This window comes from Homo sapiens, chromosome 11 (assembly GCF_000001405.40).
Source record: "Homo sapiens chromosome 11, GRCh38.p14 Primary Assembly".
Classification (NCBI taxonomy): Eukaryota; Metazoa; Chordata; class Mammalia; order Primates; family Hominidae; genus Homo; species Homo sapiens.
The window spans coordinates 110,250,557-110,266,713 of NC_000011.10; the positions used below are offsets into that span (position 1 = coordinate 110,250,557).

Below are 16,157 nucleotides of genomic sequence, written 5' to 3' on the forward strand. Positions count from 1 at the left end.
CTTTCTGCAGATGGATGTGCTGGTTTTATTTAGCTTTTCCCTATTGATGTTTCATTTGTTCTTCAGGGATGGAGGTGAAGGAGATATGGAAGCAGAAAAAAAGAATCAAGATAATCTGGCCATATGCAAGTTGGGAGGGGGTGGGGAATGGTCTTCCTACTGAAAAATGGAATAAGTATACAGCAGATATTTAAACTGATTATAATATTTAAAACATGTTGTAGTTTACTGTACTCTGTGAGGCTCGTATCTCACATTTTATAAGAATCCTACCCTGACAATAGCCATCTCCAGCCAACACTTCATTCAAATAATACAAATGCCTTCAGCCCTTTACATTACTCAGTGATATCTAGTTTTTGTAGGCCTGTCTTGTCTCCTTTATGAAACCAGATCTTGCTGCTCCCCTAAATGCTGTTCATTTTAGAGGACCTCACTGGCCCATAGGCACACCACACATATTTTTATCTCTACATATTCATCTATGTTGGCTTCTTCTTCTGAACGTATCTCTTGCTCTCTCTAACCTTCAAGCTTCAGTCCCACTTTCCTCATGAAGTCTTTTGTGATTACTGTAACAATAGATGCAGATATTTTTATTTGGAGTTTGGGTTTGAAAACACTCATTTCAATGCAGTTGTTCTATTTCAAGGACATAAATCACATTAATAAACTATTATTCCTTGTATTAATATGCAAAAAATTACTTTAGAATATCTTACTTTTTAAAGATCAAATGGGTCTAATTACACTTTTCTTCCATGAATATTAAAAACATATCCAACTTAGTTTATAATAATATTAGGAATTATTATAATGGCTATTTTTTATTAAGTACCGGGTACTTTGCTAAATGCCTGTATACCACTGTCATGATTTCTTACAAAAACGCTTGAAGGTAAGAATATTATTTTCATAGTAAGAGCAAGGAAACACAGGCTCAAAATTATCTGTTCGATTGAGTGTTAGAAGAGGAGTCAAGCCCAGATTTATCTAGTTCCAAAGCCTGTGTTCTTTGTATGACACTAGCCAGCCTTGGTGCAGAATCTCCCACAGCTAACCTACAATTGGTACATAGGTATGTAACTCTAAACTGTAAACTTGGGGCTTTCAGTTTTCACATGTGGAAACAATTTTAGCCATACAAAAACGTGCAAAAATTATCAGTCATAATTCAATTTGGATGCCAATAATTTAAGAGCTTCAAAAACTACATGGAATAACCACTCATAGTGTATAAGGTCATTTTCATTGCCAAAAAACCCCTAGGTTATAAAAATTATAGGGAGTAAATATAGCCAAATATACCAAAGTATTGTAGGGAAAGAGGTCTCTTTGCTACTCTTTCCCAACTACTGTTCTTGCCCAAGAGAGTCTAGCAGCACAGGCAGCATACCTCTGGGCATTCTCCCAGGTATATCTGCTGGCTACTTTGCCAATGGGCTTAATCAAAATTGTTTCCACACATACAGCTGCCATTTCTCTCTCTCTGACCTGTAAAGCAGGGAATAAATGACTCAGCATGCCATTTCTGAAAGACTGCCAATTCCTAGGTGACTAGAATAATATATCTCCTAGGCATTCAAACTGAATAAAAGTTACTGAATTCCAACTGAGTATAAAGCAGTCAATAAATGCTTACTAATGAAGAGCTCTAACATTTATCCAGGAGAACTACGGATTATTGTGCCAAAAAAGAAACTTAAGTCTTCCACTTCCATCTAAGCCTTAGAGTAACTAAAATATAGCACCATTACCAAATGATACTAAGTAAACATACTACCTGTACTAGAAGCAATACAGTATTTCTCTATAAGCCATGAAATAAAGGATATATAGATAAATATAGTAAGTTGAGAATGTAAATAATATATCAACATTATGAATGAGCAGAACAGTTAGGCATACTATAGAGTGATGAGTATGAGATACAGGAACTGTATATAAAATAATTCCTCATTTATCTCATGCTAGAAAACCTTTAAGAGACAGTGAAATCTTTAAGACGATTTAAAAAAATTAAGTGGAAACTAAAAGAAGTCTTCCCTTTGACAGAGGGAAATGCAAGGCTATGTGTATAAGAATGTACTGTATAGAAAGTAAAGCCCAATAAAGAGTATTTTTAAAAAGCATTTAAGATTAGAACCACAATGTAATGCTACAGCACATGAGCACAATAAAAAAGGACATAGCCCATCAAAGTAACAATCCAACTCATTACTCTTTTTTTTATTTTTATTTTTAAGAGAAAGGGTTTTACTACACTGCATGTTGCCTGTTGCCCTGATTGTCTTCAAACTCCTGTACTCAAGCAATCCTCCTGCCTCAGCCTCCCAAGTAGCTGAGACTACAGGCACATGCCACCATCCTCAGCTCACCAACTCAGTATCTTTAATGATGGGATTAGTAATTACTGACAAGCTTCAAACCCATATAAAAAATGTTTTGTTATGTGGTTAACTTCTCTAAGGAAGATAATTTGAGTTAATATGACAAAATAGGTAAAAATCAATAAAATCTCTTACACAGAACAGTTGTTGAATAAGAAAAAAAATCATTCAATATAAAACCTAAAACTATAGTAGCAAAATGGTATCTAGCAGATGGCTTCCTTCTAGATACAAAGTACCTTATATCCAATATTTAAAATACATATGTTTAGGGCTCTTCAAATTTTTTTTAAGGACTTACTCTATTTCTTAGACTATCACGTTGTTCCATAAAGATTTATTCAATAAAGGTTAACTTTAGTTTGGTCTCTAAATTTTTTCAAGTAAAGCACAAAGTTGAAATTAATCTAAAACCAGATTTGGAAATTAATGTCACTGGACCCAGTAATCTGATTCCAGGGTTGATATAAATTTTATTCACTACCATTCAATTTTAAAAATTATCAATTTAATATATTTAACAGTTTCTTTTTTAAGTCTAAGAGAAACAGAGTTAAAAAGATTAGGGTCTTTGGCAGGGAGTACTGATGTTACCCTACTTGGCACAGTGACGTTTCAGTTGTGTTCTACAATGTCACTGACATTGTTTCAAAGTTAAATATTCAGCACATTCTTACCCTGAAAAAATTAAGAAATATAAGTCACAAGCAAAACAATTTTGAAAGTTTCAAACTACTATATCTAAAACAATGTCTATCAGTGAAAAGCAAGAAATGAGTCACAAAAAGCTATTTTCTTCGAGATATGTGTCAAAGATTTCTAACTTGAAAATTATACATACTCGTTTTAAAGGACAGAGTGATAATACTGTCTTTGAATTTTAATATAATGAAAATATTAATAAATACAAATTTAAGGTACATTTAAAAAACTGAGCAGTCTTAAATTTTAGATAGCCTACTCCTATCAATTAAAAGTGAAAGGTCATAAACCCCATACCTTTCCAACTGCTTCTGATGTTTCTCCTCCCTAGCCTGAGCCTTCATCTGTTGTACTTCAATAGTATCAGGCTTCCTTCTTCGCATGTATAGTTCATGGTTTCCCATACATAAGGCCAAAATCCGCTTATTGATTCTCAGACGAGGTGCATAAAACACAAAATCCTAAACATAAAGTATTCTGAATTTAAAATCTTCCTCAAGGATACTGTCTCTCATAACAATCTGTACTAAATTTTAACATGAGGTATGAATTTTAATGTCATATTACATATAGTTTAGAAATAAGAAATCATACAATTTCATAACTCCCAGTGAGCATGACATACTTTCACATAACTGGTTCCTCACCTTTTCATATCCAACCAGTTTTGTAAAGAGGCTAATATTCTTATCCTTGCAATACATTAAATGTCATTTATTCCTTTTTGTTCTCGAAAGTAACTATGAGCACCTGTTCCTTATACACCATTTGCCATTAATGTCAAAATTGGTTCTTCGTTCATGGCTGTAGAGTTTTTTTTAACCTAGAATTGTTCTTTTTTTTTTTTGAGACGGAGTCTTGCTGTCATCCAGGCTGGAGTGCAGTGGTGCCATCTCAGTGCACTCCAACCTCTGCCTCCCGGGTTCAAGAAATTCTCATGTCTCAGCCTCCCTAGTAGCTGGGATTACAGGCATGCACCACCACATCTGACTAATATTTGTATTTTCAGTAGAGATGAAGTTTCACCACGTTGGCCAGGCTGGTCTTGAACTCCTCATCTCAGGTGATCTGCTCCTCTCGAGCCTCCCAAAGTGCTGGGATTATGGTCCTGAACCATTGCACCCAGCCTGTTCTTCTTACTTTTACCTTTTCAGTAACTAACAGGGTTAGGATACTAGAGTATACTTGACATTAGAGGAACTTTAAAAATCTATTTAAATAAAAAGATTTCTTAAGTTCAAGGCTTCAAGTTACAAAAATACAAAGTTCATAAAGCAAAACTGTATAAACGAAGTTAATTTAGAATAGGGCTACCTCTACTACATTCTAGCCACCAATGAAGAAACACTTTAAAATTGCTTCTTAGGAATGGTGTTTTCATTAGCCTCCTAATAAATATTATCTATTTATAACTGAATCTCAAATAAAATAAAATTCTAATATTTACATCTTACTTTAAAAAATTAAATCTTTGGATTTTTATTAACATATTATTTCATCACTGGGAAAGCTGACCTATGGAAAGAGAATGGTCCTCAGAAGCAATTTAATAAATGAACACTGTTATTCTTCAAGTGATATCATGGGAAACTAGCAGATATTAAACAGTTAATACACAAAATATTAAAGAAATTACTTACAGGTGCCTTTTTGTCGATTGGCTTTATAACAAATTTTTTGTCATTAAATGAAATATTTCTGATTTCACTCCAGGGAAAACCAATTTTAGGTGTTAACCTTAAAAAATGAAAGCATCTCCTTAATTAAAGGCAGGAAACAATGAATAAAATTCCTGTTTAGGACCTAAACTGACTGAATGACCAATCTTAAGAGTTCCAGATTTTCAAAATGTATTAACTTATTCATAACTACAGTTGACCTTATCTTTTAAGGGGAAAACTGATAAATCATATAAAACAAACAACTGTCCAAAGATTTCATAAATGTGTCATGAACCTTAAAAGCAGTGTATTTTCCTAAAATTATCTAAAAAAACTACCTGGTGACCCAAGTGTAGAACTGAGCCTCCTGGGGTTTGAACTAGCTGTTCAGTTTTTATTGTTTGGATTCAAGCTACAACTACAGTTTAAATATGTGTAAGAAGTGGGAAGAAAAAAAAAGGCCTTTATAACTTCTCATGTGAATTACGGGCAAGTTACTGCAAATAAAAAAACAGTACTTCCTTCCTGTGTTTAATTTGAAAATGTCTGGATATTCACGAATATACTAAAAATACTTAATTTTCAGTATATTTTGAAAGAATCTTATGGTATATGAATTATATCTCAAAAATTTTAAACACTCACATACATAAATATTTGGATAAATGATAGAGATGGAATTCAAACTCTTGAGACTATACACAGCAGTTGACTCCGTTTTACCACCCTACACACAAAGATATAGGGAATCATATTGGAATAAGTGATTTTGTTTCTGCCTTTTCATGTATTTTACTGTTTCAGACTACCTATCAAATGCATCACTATTGTCCTATTGTCCTAATAACTAAGACTGAGAAATGATTTTGACACCTATACTGGCCAGAAGACATCTTTTAGCCAGGCTTCTGACAACACAGCATGAATTTTTACCTATTTATATTCCTTTTAGTTCTCAAGCAGAGTAGGTACTGCAGCACAGCAGAGTCTTTTCTACATAAAACATTCTTTACTCAATAAGCATATTAGAGGACCCTCTAATGGCCCCTGATATAAGTCAAAGTAACATGCTTAAAACGGAGACTGCAGGAATGCAACATAGTATTTTAGAGAACACTATGCTACGTTTATATGCTACTTTGAAAAATTCTAAAGCAATTGCCTCATATAATTCTCATAACACTCTTGTGAGGTAAGCCTGGAAGCTAATACAATAACTTTTTTAACATTTAAAAAAATTGCTCCAATATGTGCCAGAACCACCACCACCAAAAAAATTAAGAAGCCAGGCACAGTGGCTCACGCCTGTAATCTCAGCACTGGAGAAAGCAGAGGCGCAAGAATTGCTAGAGGCCAGGAGTTCAAGACCAGCCTGGGCAACATAGCAAGATCCCATTCTCTAAAACAAAAGAAAAAGATTCAGTTTACAAAAATTAGTCTTGAAGTCATTTTTGCTTTTCAAAAATTTCTCTTCTAAATGATATAACCTTCTAACTTGCTTTGTAATAAAAACATGAGAAGATATTAGGGTAAAAATAGTAAAATGCTCTTGTTTGGAATCACATATGCTTTGAAATTAGTATTTTATTAGATATCTGTAGTAATAAAAATTAAAATTCTGGAGCCAACCTAGAATAAAGAATAATGCCTTAGGAAAAGGCATTAATTACTGGCATAGACTTGCATGCTTATGTGGTATGGTAAATAAATTAAAGTCTAAGACAATTGAGTTATTAATCCTGAAAAGTAAGAGTCTGATGTATTTTATATTGCATGTGTATGTGTATAATATACCGTCTCTATATAGTATTTACCCATGTATTTGTATAGTACATATACATGTATATGTAAATATACATATATTATACATATAATAAAATATTGATGAATTATATATGTATAATAAAAAACTATTTGGTCAATTTCAAGATATAATTACAGTGTTCAATATGTGTAATACAGGGATATTCTATTGTATTAATGTCCAAACATATTTAAAACAATTCCTATATATAAATGTTCAAAAAAATCCTCTAAGATGTGATAGACATATTTATTAAATCCATTCTCTCATTGCTCCTGATTTCTTATGTATGTTCAATTTCAATCTATTTGTCAAGCATAATAGCATTTTAAAGAATTATTTCTCACCTATCGAGGGAGCAAATTTTAATTAAGTTACTAGACATAACTCACAAGAGCTAAAAGCAGCACAATTCAAATAAAAGTCAATCATCTCATTTGATAAATACACTGAAAAGTAGAACTCTGAAACTGCAAGGTGATAAGAAAATGGAGGTAAAATATCTACAAGTCTATGTGTCATTAATTCATCTTTTAGTTTGAAAATAGTAAGGGTAATCAAGACAAGAAACTACTTTGAAAAACAGGACATAAGATTAACGTCATTTAGACCACTGAACAATGACTAGTTCACTATGCAACTAATTTACTTACTTGTCGTCATGCTCATAAATATTCAGACCCAAAGCATCAACACCTAGCCACAATTCAGTTCCTTTTTTATTTTTTATTTCAAAATAGTTGACTCCATACATTTCTAGATCTTGTGCAATCTTCAGGTATTCCATCATAGAATCCTCCCTGTTGAAATAAAACTAAATGTAATATATTTAAGTAGGAGCATATCAAACTAAAGTTGCAAAATACCTGGAATTAAAAATTAGTACTTTACATAAGTCAAACAATCTTTTGGAAATAATGTAATAATAAATGTTACGACATGAAAATACTTTGAAGGAAAAAAGAAAACATAGAAAATAGCTACCCAAATACCTTAACATTCCTCTATGTTCTTCATGCCAGTTCTGTATTCTTTCTTCCCACTGTTCTTTTGTTAGTTTGTGTTGTTCCAATACACTAAGAGGACCAAAAAAAAAAAAAAATTATAATGACTTTAAGATTCAAAAGCATACACTTTAAAAGTAAAGAATCCTTTCAGTAACTTGACTGTGGTAGTTGTCAGACAATTAATACACATGATGAAATTGCATAGAACTAAATTACATACACACAGAAATGAGTGCAGGTAAAACTGATGTAATCTGAATAAGGTGGCTAGATTGTACCAATGTCAATATCTTGTTTGTAATATTGTACTGTAGTTACACAAGATGTTACCATCAGGGAATGCTGGGAGAAGGATACCAGGGATCTCTTTTTTTTACAACTGCATAATAATCAGTAATTATCTCAAAGTTAAGTGTCTAGGATCCTTAAATTCCTTGAAATAATACTTGCTCCATAAAGTGATTACAAAGATAGCTTATAGGAACCCAAACAGTTCAAAGGAATAAAACATTAGATAAAAAAATGGCTCATTGTTAATAGATAAAGACCAGACTGAAAACCAGAATTCTTGGGCCCTAATTCTTCCTTTATGTATTTACTTTTTTGCTACTAATTTTGTTGTTTTAGGTAGGTAATACTTTCAATTAAAAAGTAGAGTGAAAAGTCATACTCCAGTCCAATACCCCCCAAATAACTTGTTTTTGTATCCTTCCAGTGTTCTTAATTCAAATGTGAGCAAATACATTCTTTTTTTTTTTTTTTTTTTTTTGAGATGGAGTCTCGCTCTGTTGCCCAGGCTGGAGTGCAGTGGCACAATCTCGGTTCACTGCAACCTCTGCTTCCTGGGTTCAAGTGATTCTCCTGTCTCAACCTCCCAAGTAGCTGGGATTATAGGTGTGTGCCACGATGCTCTCGGCCTCCCGCGTAGCTGGGATTACAGGCGTGCGCCATAATGCCTGGCTAATTTTTCTTTTTTGTGTGTTTTTTTGGTATTTTTAGTAGAGACGGGGTTTCGCCATGTTGGCCAGGTTGGTCTTGAACTCCTGACCTCAAGTGATCCACCTGCCTCGACCTCCCAAAGTGCTGGGATTACAGGCGTGAGCTACCACGCCCAGCCAAATACAAACATTATATTCTACTACTACTATTTTAACACCAAATCAGCAAAGTCAACATGATTATAAGTTACCTACTATGCACACTACAGTTTGTGACTTCTATTCTCTTTGGCTCATATGATAATTATTCACCTTTATTTACCAGATCCTACTTTACTGACAGCAGAAGCTGTGGTGTTAAAATATTACTGTTTTACTATATAAAAAATCTTGCATGAAACCCAAGGATTTCTTGGCAGCATAAAGGAATGATAAAATCTCCCCCTGGATAAGTTACCTACTACTTAGAGTAAATTCCTTAAAGGGGTCTCAGACATACTGTTATGTTCTTATTATACTCTGCTCCTTTCTCTAGGCATCTTTTCCAAGCTCTTGCTTTTGGGGAGAAGAGTTTCATCTTCCTTCTGAGAGAGCTTAGGTTTCCACAGTTTCTTGTCTTTCTTGCTGTCTGGCCTCTGGGCTCACAGAGAGGCATGCAATCAGCCTTGGAGACATAACCCAGTGCAGTCAATTGCTTACCATAATTATATGCCCAATGCCAGTACTAAAGAGGGCCTCGAAAATTTGTAGAGTGAATAAATGAATTAATCAATTTTTCCCAACCCCTATTTTTTTTTCTTTTTCAGAGACAACTTTCTTTTATGGACTGTCCATTATACACTAACCTCAATTTCCATACCTGACATCCACTGCCCCCAGTCTACCATAATCTGGCTCAAACACCCAATACTCTATGGTAACTGTTCTTCTTTTTTTTTTTTTCTTTAGACAGAGTTTCGCTCTTGTTGCCTAGGCTGGAGTGCAATGGCATGATCTCGGCTCACTGCAAACTCCACCTCCCGGGTTCAAGCGATTCTCCTGCCTGAGCCTCTCCAGTAGCTAGGATTACAGGCATGCACCACCACGCCCGGCTAATTTTGTATTTTTAGTAGAGACGGGGTTTCTCCATGTTGGTCAGCCTGGTCTTGAACTCCCAGCCTCAGGTGATCCGCCCACCTCGGCCTCCCAAAGTGCTGGGATTACAGGTGTGAGCCACCACACCCGGCTGGAAACTGCTCTTCTAAGGTCACTACCAAGCTCCTTATTCCAACAGATACTTTAGTTCTCCTCATATTTGACCTCTTGGTACCATTTGGCAGTGCTGACCATTCTCTTCATCAAAGTATTCTTTTACCTTGGCTTCCATGATATAATACTCTTCTGGTATTATTCTTGTTTTCTGAGATGGAGTCTCGCTCTGTCGCCCAGGCTGGAGTGCAGTGGCGCCATCTTGGCTCACTGCAACCTCCGCCTCCCGGGTTCCAGTGATTCTCAGGTCTCAGATTCCCGAGTAGCTGGGATTACAAGCATGTGCCACCATGCCCAGCCATCTTCTAGTATAGAATTATTCTTGAATCTGTGGCCAGTGTCTCAGTACAGTTGTCCCTCCATATCCATAAAGGATTGCTTCCAGGACTCCCCTTGGATACCAAAAACTGTGGATGCTCAAGTCCCTGATATAAAATGGTGCAATATTTGCATATAACCTATGCACATCCTCTTGTATACTTTCAATCATCTCTAGGCTAATAATACTAATACACTATATTATTACTACTATGTAGTATAATAATACACTAATACACTACAAATGCTATGTATTGTTATCCTGTATTTTTAAAATTTTGTACCTTTTCATTGCTGTGTTATTTTTTTCACATATTTTCAATCTGTGGTTGGTTGACTCTGTGAATGCAGAACCCAAAGACAAAAGCTGAGGTCCAACAAGATCTGTCCTAGGTCTTTTTCTCATTTTTATGTACTTGGTAGGTTGATCTCTTTCATTCTCATGGTTTAATTACCATCTATTCACTGATTACTCCCAAAACTGTATCTATAGTCCAAGACTGTTTCTAAAAGGTCTGCACCCACATATGCAAATAAATACCAGATATCTCTCTTGGTTATATTGCACATATTTCAAACTCAATAGGTTCAAAACTGAATTCATCTTCCCCCTCAAATGTATTTTTTCTTCCACTCATTTTGATAAAAGGTATTACCAAATACCCAGCCGCCCAAGTCAGAAACCTGGTATGTAAAAGTTTATGTATATTTAGCTCTTTTCAAAGGGAAGCAATACTATCTGGTGGAGCTAATTATCTATACCACAAGAGCTAAACTTTTCTACAGTAAGAACAGATTGCTCATCTGGGTTTTTCAATACAAGAAATCAGAATGTATCAGAATCACTAAATTATTTTATTTGATTTGTTATCACCAAATAACCTAATTACTCATTTCCTCCCCAGACTGTACTTAGATACTGAGAAAAAGTGTCCGATATACCATACTGGAATAAGCCAATCACTGTGAAAATATCCTCTCTGTTCTAAACAGAAAATGAAAAAAAAATGGTATTCTAACTTTATGACTAAGTCTCATTTTAAGATAACATGGCTTGAATTAGTCCTCCATGGAATATCAACTCTGAAGGAACAACTGACCTACAAAATTAAGGAACAAATCTTGAAATAGGCATTTGCACTAGCAACCACAAGCAACCCTATCTAAAGCATTTAGCCACCTTCCTTCTTTTTAAATAGAGTAGGTTAGAGCACACCCATATTTAAAATAAACTGTGCTTGTGTGTTATTGTAGTGTTTAAGAGATTTTTTTCAATCACATGAGTTATGAAATGTAAGCCAATTACTTCATCTGCTGCTCAACCAAACAGCAATCTGGCTTAACACTGAAAGATCAATGCTGTACTTGTTTAGATAAAGCATTCCTATTCTTTAACATTTAAAAAAAAAATTAAAGTAATTCTGATTATAAAACAAAAGGTAATCCTTATATGAAATGAAATTCCACCATAATAGTCTGATTACTCAATTCAGTAATCTAAGATGAAGAATCTTAGGTTAGAATAACATTCAAAACCAGAATATAAACAGACTATCAGATATCTCATATTCCTGACTCTCTTGGTGAACAACTTACATAATTCTATCCTTTTCCAAGGTGACTACTATTGCTACAAAATTAAAGGGCGGAACACTGTGACATTTAATAATTGAATTTTGGCTGAGCATGGTGACTCACGCCTATAATCCCAGCACTTTGGGAGGCCGAAGCGGGTGGATCATTTGAGATCAGGAGTTCGAGACCAGCCTGACCAACACGGTGAAACTCCATCTCCACTAAAAATGCAAAAATTAGCCAGGTGTGGTTGTGTGTGCCTGTAATCCCAGCTGCTCAGGAGGAGACTGAGGCAGGAGAATCGCTTGAATCCGGGAGGCGGAGGTTGCAGTGAGCCGAGATCGTGCCACTGCACTCCAGCCTGGGCAACAGAGCAAGACTCCATCTCAAAGAAAAAAAAAAAAAATTAAAAAGTAATATTTGATGTTCCATCTTCTAGATTCCATCAATACTACTAAATAACACGTTTCACACTTGACAATTAAAACTGTAAATCATATAGTTCATTAATTATAATCATAAACTAGAAGGTAGCCAGAGAAGGATTATTATCCCCACTTTGCAGATTTAGATACTGAGCTCAGAGGTTTTAGGTCATGTACCTAAGGTCACATATATAGCAAAGGGTGGAATCGGTACTCAAAATTTAGGTCTTCTGATAATTTTTTCCTATGCCATATTATTTTAAAATAGCCATTATAGAAGCAGCAGTACACTGTAGATAAGAACAATGCACCAGCCTAGGAGTCTGAAAACCTAGTTTAAAAAGCCTTTTCAGAAAGTCAGAAAATTCAGCCAGGAGCAGTGGCTCACGCCTGTAATCCCAGCACTTTGGGAGACCGAGGTGGGAGGATCACTTGAGGTCAGGAGTTCGAGACCAGCCTGGCCAACATAGTGATACCCTGTCTCTGCTAAAAATACAAAAATTAGCTGGGCATGGCGGCAGATGCCTGTAATCCCAGCTACTCGGGAGGCTGAGGCAGGAGAATCACTTGAACCTGAGAGGCAGACTCCAATCTCAGCGAGCTGAGATTGCACCACTGCACTCCAGCCTGGGTGACAGAGTGAGGCTCTATCTCGGGGGGGGAAAAAGTCAGAGAATTCTATGAAGAAAACACAGCCTGCCACTTACTCTCACTTATTAAGCACCTGCCTGTGTTAGAATTTGTACCAAGCAGCAACAGTCACATCCTTTCCTCAAGTCCAAATTATCACTGCCTCCATTTATTGCTTACCCTATGGGAATGAGGAAAGAAGAGATAGATCAACCTTAGGTAATTACAGAGCATATAAATCTATGGAGGTGCTAGGTAATGATTTTTAGAAGTATACCCCATGATCCAGCTGGCAACTTAAAATCTGGAAAAAAAAAAAAAAGAGGCCAGGTGCGGTGGCTCATGCCTGTAATCCCAGCACTTTGGGAGGCTGAGGCGGGCAGATCACTTGAGCTCAGGAGTTTGAGACCAGCCTGGGCAACATGATGAAACCCCATCTCAATGAAAAATACATTAAAAAAAAAATTAGCGGACATAATGGCATGTGCCTATAGACCCAGCTACTCAGGAGGCTGAGGTGGAAGGATGGCTTGAACCCAGGAGGCAGAGGTTGCAGTGGGCTGAGATCACGCCACTGCACTCCAGCATGGGTGACAGGTCCAGACCCTGTCTCCAAAAAAAAAAAAAAACCTGAAAAACGTTTTATTTATAGACTTCTAGAATACAATTTTCAGACAATATAATGCAAACGCATGTTTCACTTACCGCTGGGGTAGGAGTCTATCATTAGCCAGGTAGCCTGGCTTATGAATCTCTTTATTGTAATCTCCATACTTGGCTTGGACAGCATAGGAAGCCAAAAGAACTGCAGTTTCTGGCGGGCAATATATCTCATCATTTAAGATGGCTTCTTTAACTTGCAAGAAGAAGAGTCTCTGGGTTATTTCTTGAATTAATTCCTCAGAAACATCTTCAGGAAAGAATTTAGCTCTAAACTTGAACTGTAAAGGATTCTCTTTTTTAACATCCTGCTGTGTTACCTGGAAAAATAATTTCAAGTATAATCAACAAAAATCTTAAGTTTACAATAATTAGACCTAGTCACATCAAATTCTTTTTGGAAGAAAATGAAGTGAAATAGATTCTAAATCTATGAAGATTTTAGTGTGTAATAGTCTAAATCTGTAAACAAATATATGTGGTAAAAGATTCTATGCTCTTGAATGTGACCTATAACTCAGATTCTAATAACCAAATTGAAAACTTTTTTTCATATTCTTGAGAAGCTTATCCTACAGGTATTTACATCAAAATTGAAGTACTTAGTATGCCATTTGTAATATCTGCTTTAATATTTGTTATAGGCTAAGTTTTCAAATAGGAAAAGTAAGCATTTCTTTTTTTTTTTTTTGAGATGATAAGCTGATGGTGCCTGATTGAATTTAAAAAAACATGGTACCTCATAATGATTAACAGATAACTACAAAAGGAAGCTTGCAATCAGTCAGACTTAGCTTTTCCAGCACAAATTCATAACTTCAACTTAACATAATTATTAGTTTAATGTTATCGTACATATTTTACCTTTTTATTTAGTTTAAGCCATGTAGAATAACCTTTGCTGTCTACATACTGCAGCCCAAAAAACCAGACCTCACGCAAACCAACTGTTTTCACCACCTAAAACACAACAACAACAAAAAAACACAATTTCAGTCCAACATACACATTGTGTCTAGATGATACTACACTTCAAAAGGAGAACAAAACTATGTAAGTATACGTATATTCCTTTGCCATAGAAAAGGCTTTCCCTAAATTTAAGATATTAAAGGAACATTTTTGAAAACTCAAATTCAAGTTTTCTATACTCAATTTTTCTTTTTTTTTTTTTGAAAAGAAGTTTTTTTTTTTGTTTTTTTTTTTTTTGTTCTTGTCACCCAGGCTGGGGTGCAATGGCACAATCTTGGCTCACCGCAACTTCCGTCTCCATTCAAGTGATTCTCCTGCCTCAGCCTCCAAAGTAGCTGTGATTACAGGTATGCACTACCACGCCTAGCTAATTTTTTGTATTTTTAGTAGAGATGGGGTTTCACCATGTTGGCCAGGTTGGTCTCAAACTCCTGACCTCAGGTGATCTGCCTGCCTCGGCCTTCCAAAGTCTTGGGATTATAGGCGTAAGCCACTGCACCTGGCCTCTAATCCTCAATTTTGTAGTGTCACTTCAATCCTCTTACTTGATCCACTTTTTCATACCTCCTTTTCCTTATCTATCATGACCTCAACAATAACAAGAGTCTTGAAAATATATATATATATATATATAGTTTTCATAATCATACGTTCCAATTTCTATTTACCCCCACAAGTACCCTATTGGTATATTTAGGGCAAATGGTATCATTTTGGTGATAAGAAAAGTCTGATATATTCCATGTTCTACCTTCACTGAGCAAGAAACCATTCTTAGAACATACCATAAATTCCACCCTTCTACAATTTTGCTGATGTTTTTTCCTCTGCCTAGAATGGGTCTTCTGTATTTTTATGACTTATTGAACAATTTATTCTTTAAGGACAAGCTCAACTAACGTGCCTTCTGTGAATAAAGCTCTCCTACCATCTAGATAAAATTAATCACTTGTTCCCTGATATTCCCATAGGACTTTATCTATCCTGCTATTAGAAAATTTACTCTATCATAATTGTGTTATTAGCAGTGTGTCTATTTACCCTCCTTGACTGCATAATACTTATGGACAGAGATTATTGATTTATGTGTCTTAAAATCCATAGCATCTCACAGAATGATCAGCCTGTGGTAGATACTCAAAAGTAAGACTAAGTAGGCTGTGCGCAGTGGCTCACGTCTGTAATCCCAGCACTTTGGGAGGCCGAGGCGGGCGGATCACAAAGTCAGGAGATCAAGACCATCCTGACTAACACGGTGAAACTTCATCACTACTAAAAATACAAAAAAAAAAAAAAATTAGCTGGGCGTGGTGGCATGCGCCTGTAGTCCCAGCCACTTGGGAGGCAGAAGCAGGAGAATGGCGTGAACCCGGGAAGCGGAGCTTGCAGTGAGCCGAGATCGTGCCACTGCACTCCAGCCTGGGCGACAGAGCAAGACTCCGTCTCAAAAAAAAAAAGAAAATAAAGTAAGAGTAAATAAAGTGGTGGAGTTAGGATACACACCCAGGACTTACCCACACCTAACAAAAGCATATGTTTTTTAAAAAAATCTGTATTTAAAATAAAATGAGGAAAATGATCCAGGGGAGGTAAAAGTTCATTAACATTTTAAAAGCTTTACAGAAAGATTCAATATCAGTTCTTAAATAATAAACATTCTTGGTTTTTTGTGGGAGTTTTTGCTTATTTTTTTTTTTTAAAGACAGGGTCTCACTCTGTACCCACAATGGAGTACAGTGGTGTGATTCACGGCTCACTGGAGCCTTGACCTCCTGGGCTGAAGCAATCCTCCTGCCTCAGCCTCCTGAATGGCTGGGACTAGAGGCA

General features: G+C 35.8%; 1 protein-coding gene across 19 annotated transcripts in view; it reads right to left on the reverse strand.

Moving 5' to 3' along the window:
- Positions 1 to 16,157, reverse strand: part of RDX (radixin) — a 121,693-nt gene that overhangs the window by 75,635 nt on the left and 29,901 nt on the right. For 14 of the 19 annotated variants that reach the window (NM_001260493.2, NM_001440510.1, NM_001440505.1 and 11 more), the window contains 6 exons: positions 14,223 to 14,318; positions 13,404 to 13,678; positions 7,550 to 7,633; positions 7,211 to 7,357; positions 4,733 to 4,829; positions 3,390 to 3,553 (listed from right to left, as the gene is read on the reverse strand). The exons of 1 other annotated variant lie outside the window; for it this stretch is intronic. In NM_001260493.2, the coding sequence (NP_001247422.1) occupies positions 3,390 to 3,553; positions 4,733 to 4,829; positions 7,211 to 7,357; positions 7,550 to 7,633; positions 13,404 to 13,678; positions 14,223 to 14,318 (863 nt within the window). Of the gene's footprint in view, positions 1 to 3,389; positions 3,554 to 4,732; positions 4,851 to 7,210; positions 7,358 to 7,549; positions 7,634 to 13,403; positions 13,679 to 14,222; positions 14,319 to 16,157 lie in introns of all 19 variants that reach the window. 4 more of the 19 variants (NM_001440512.1, NM_001440517.1, NM_001260494.2 and 1 more) reach the window with 4 other exon arrangements.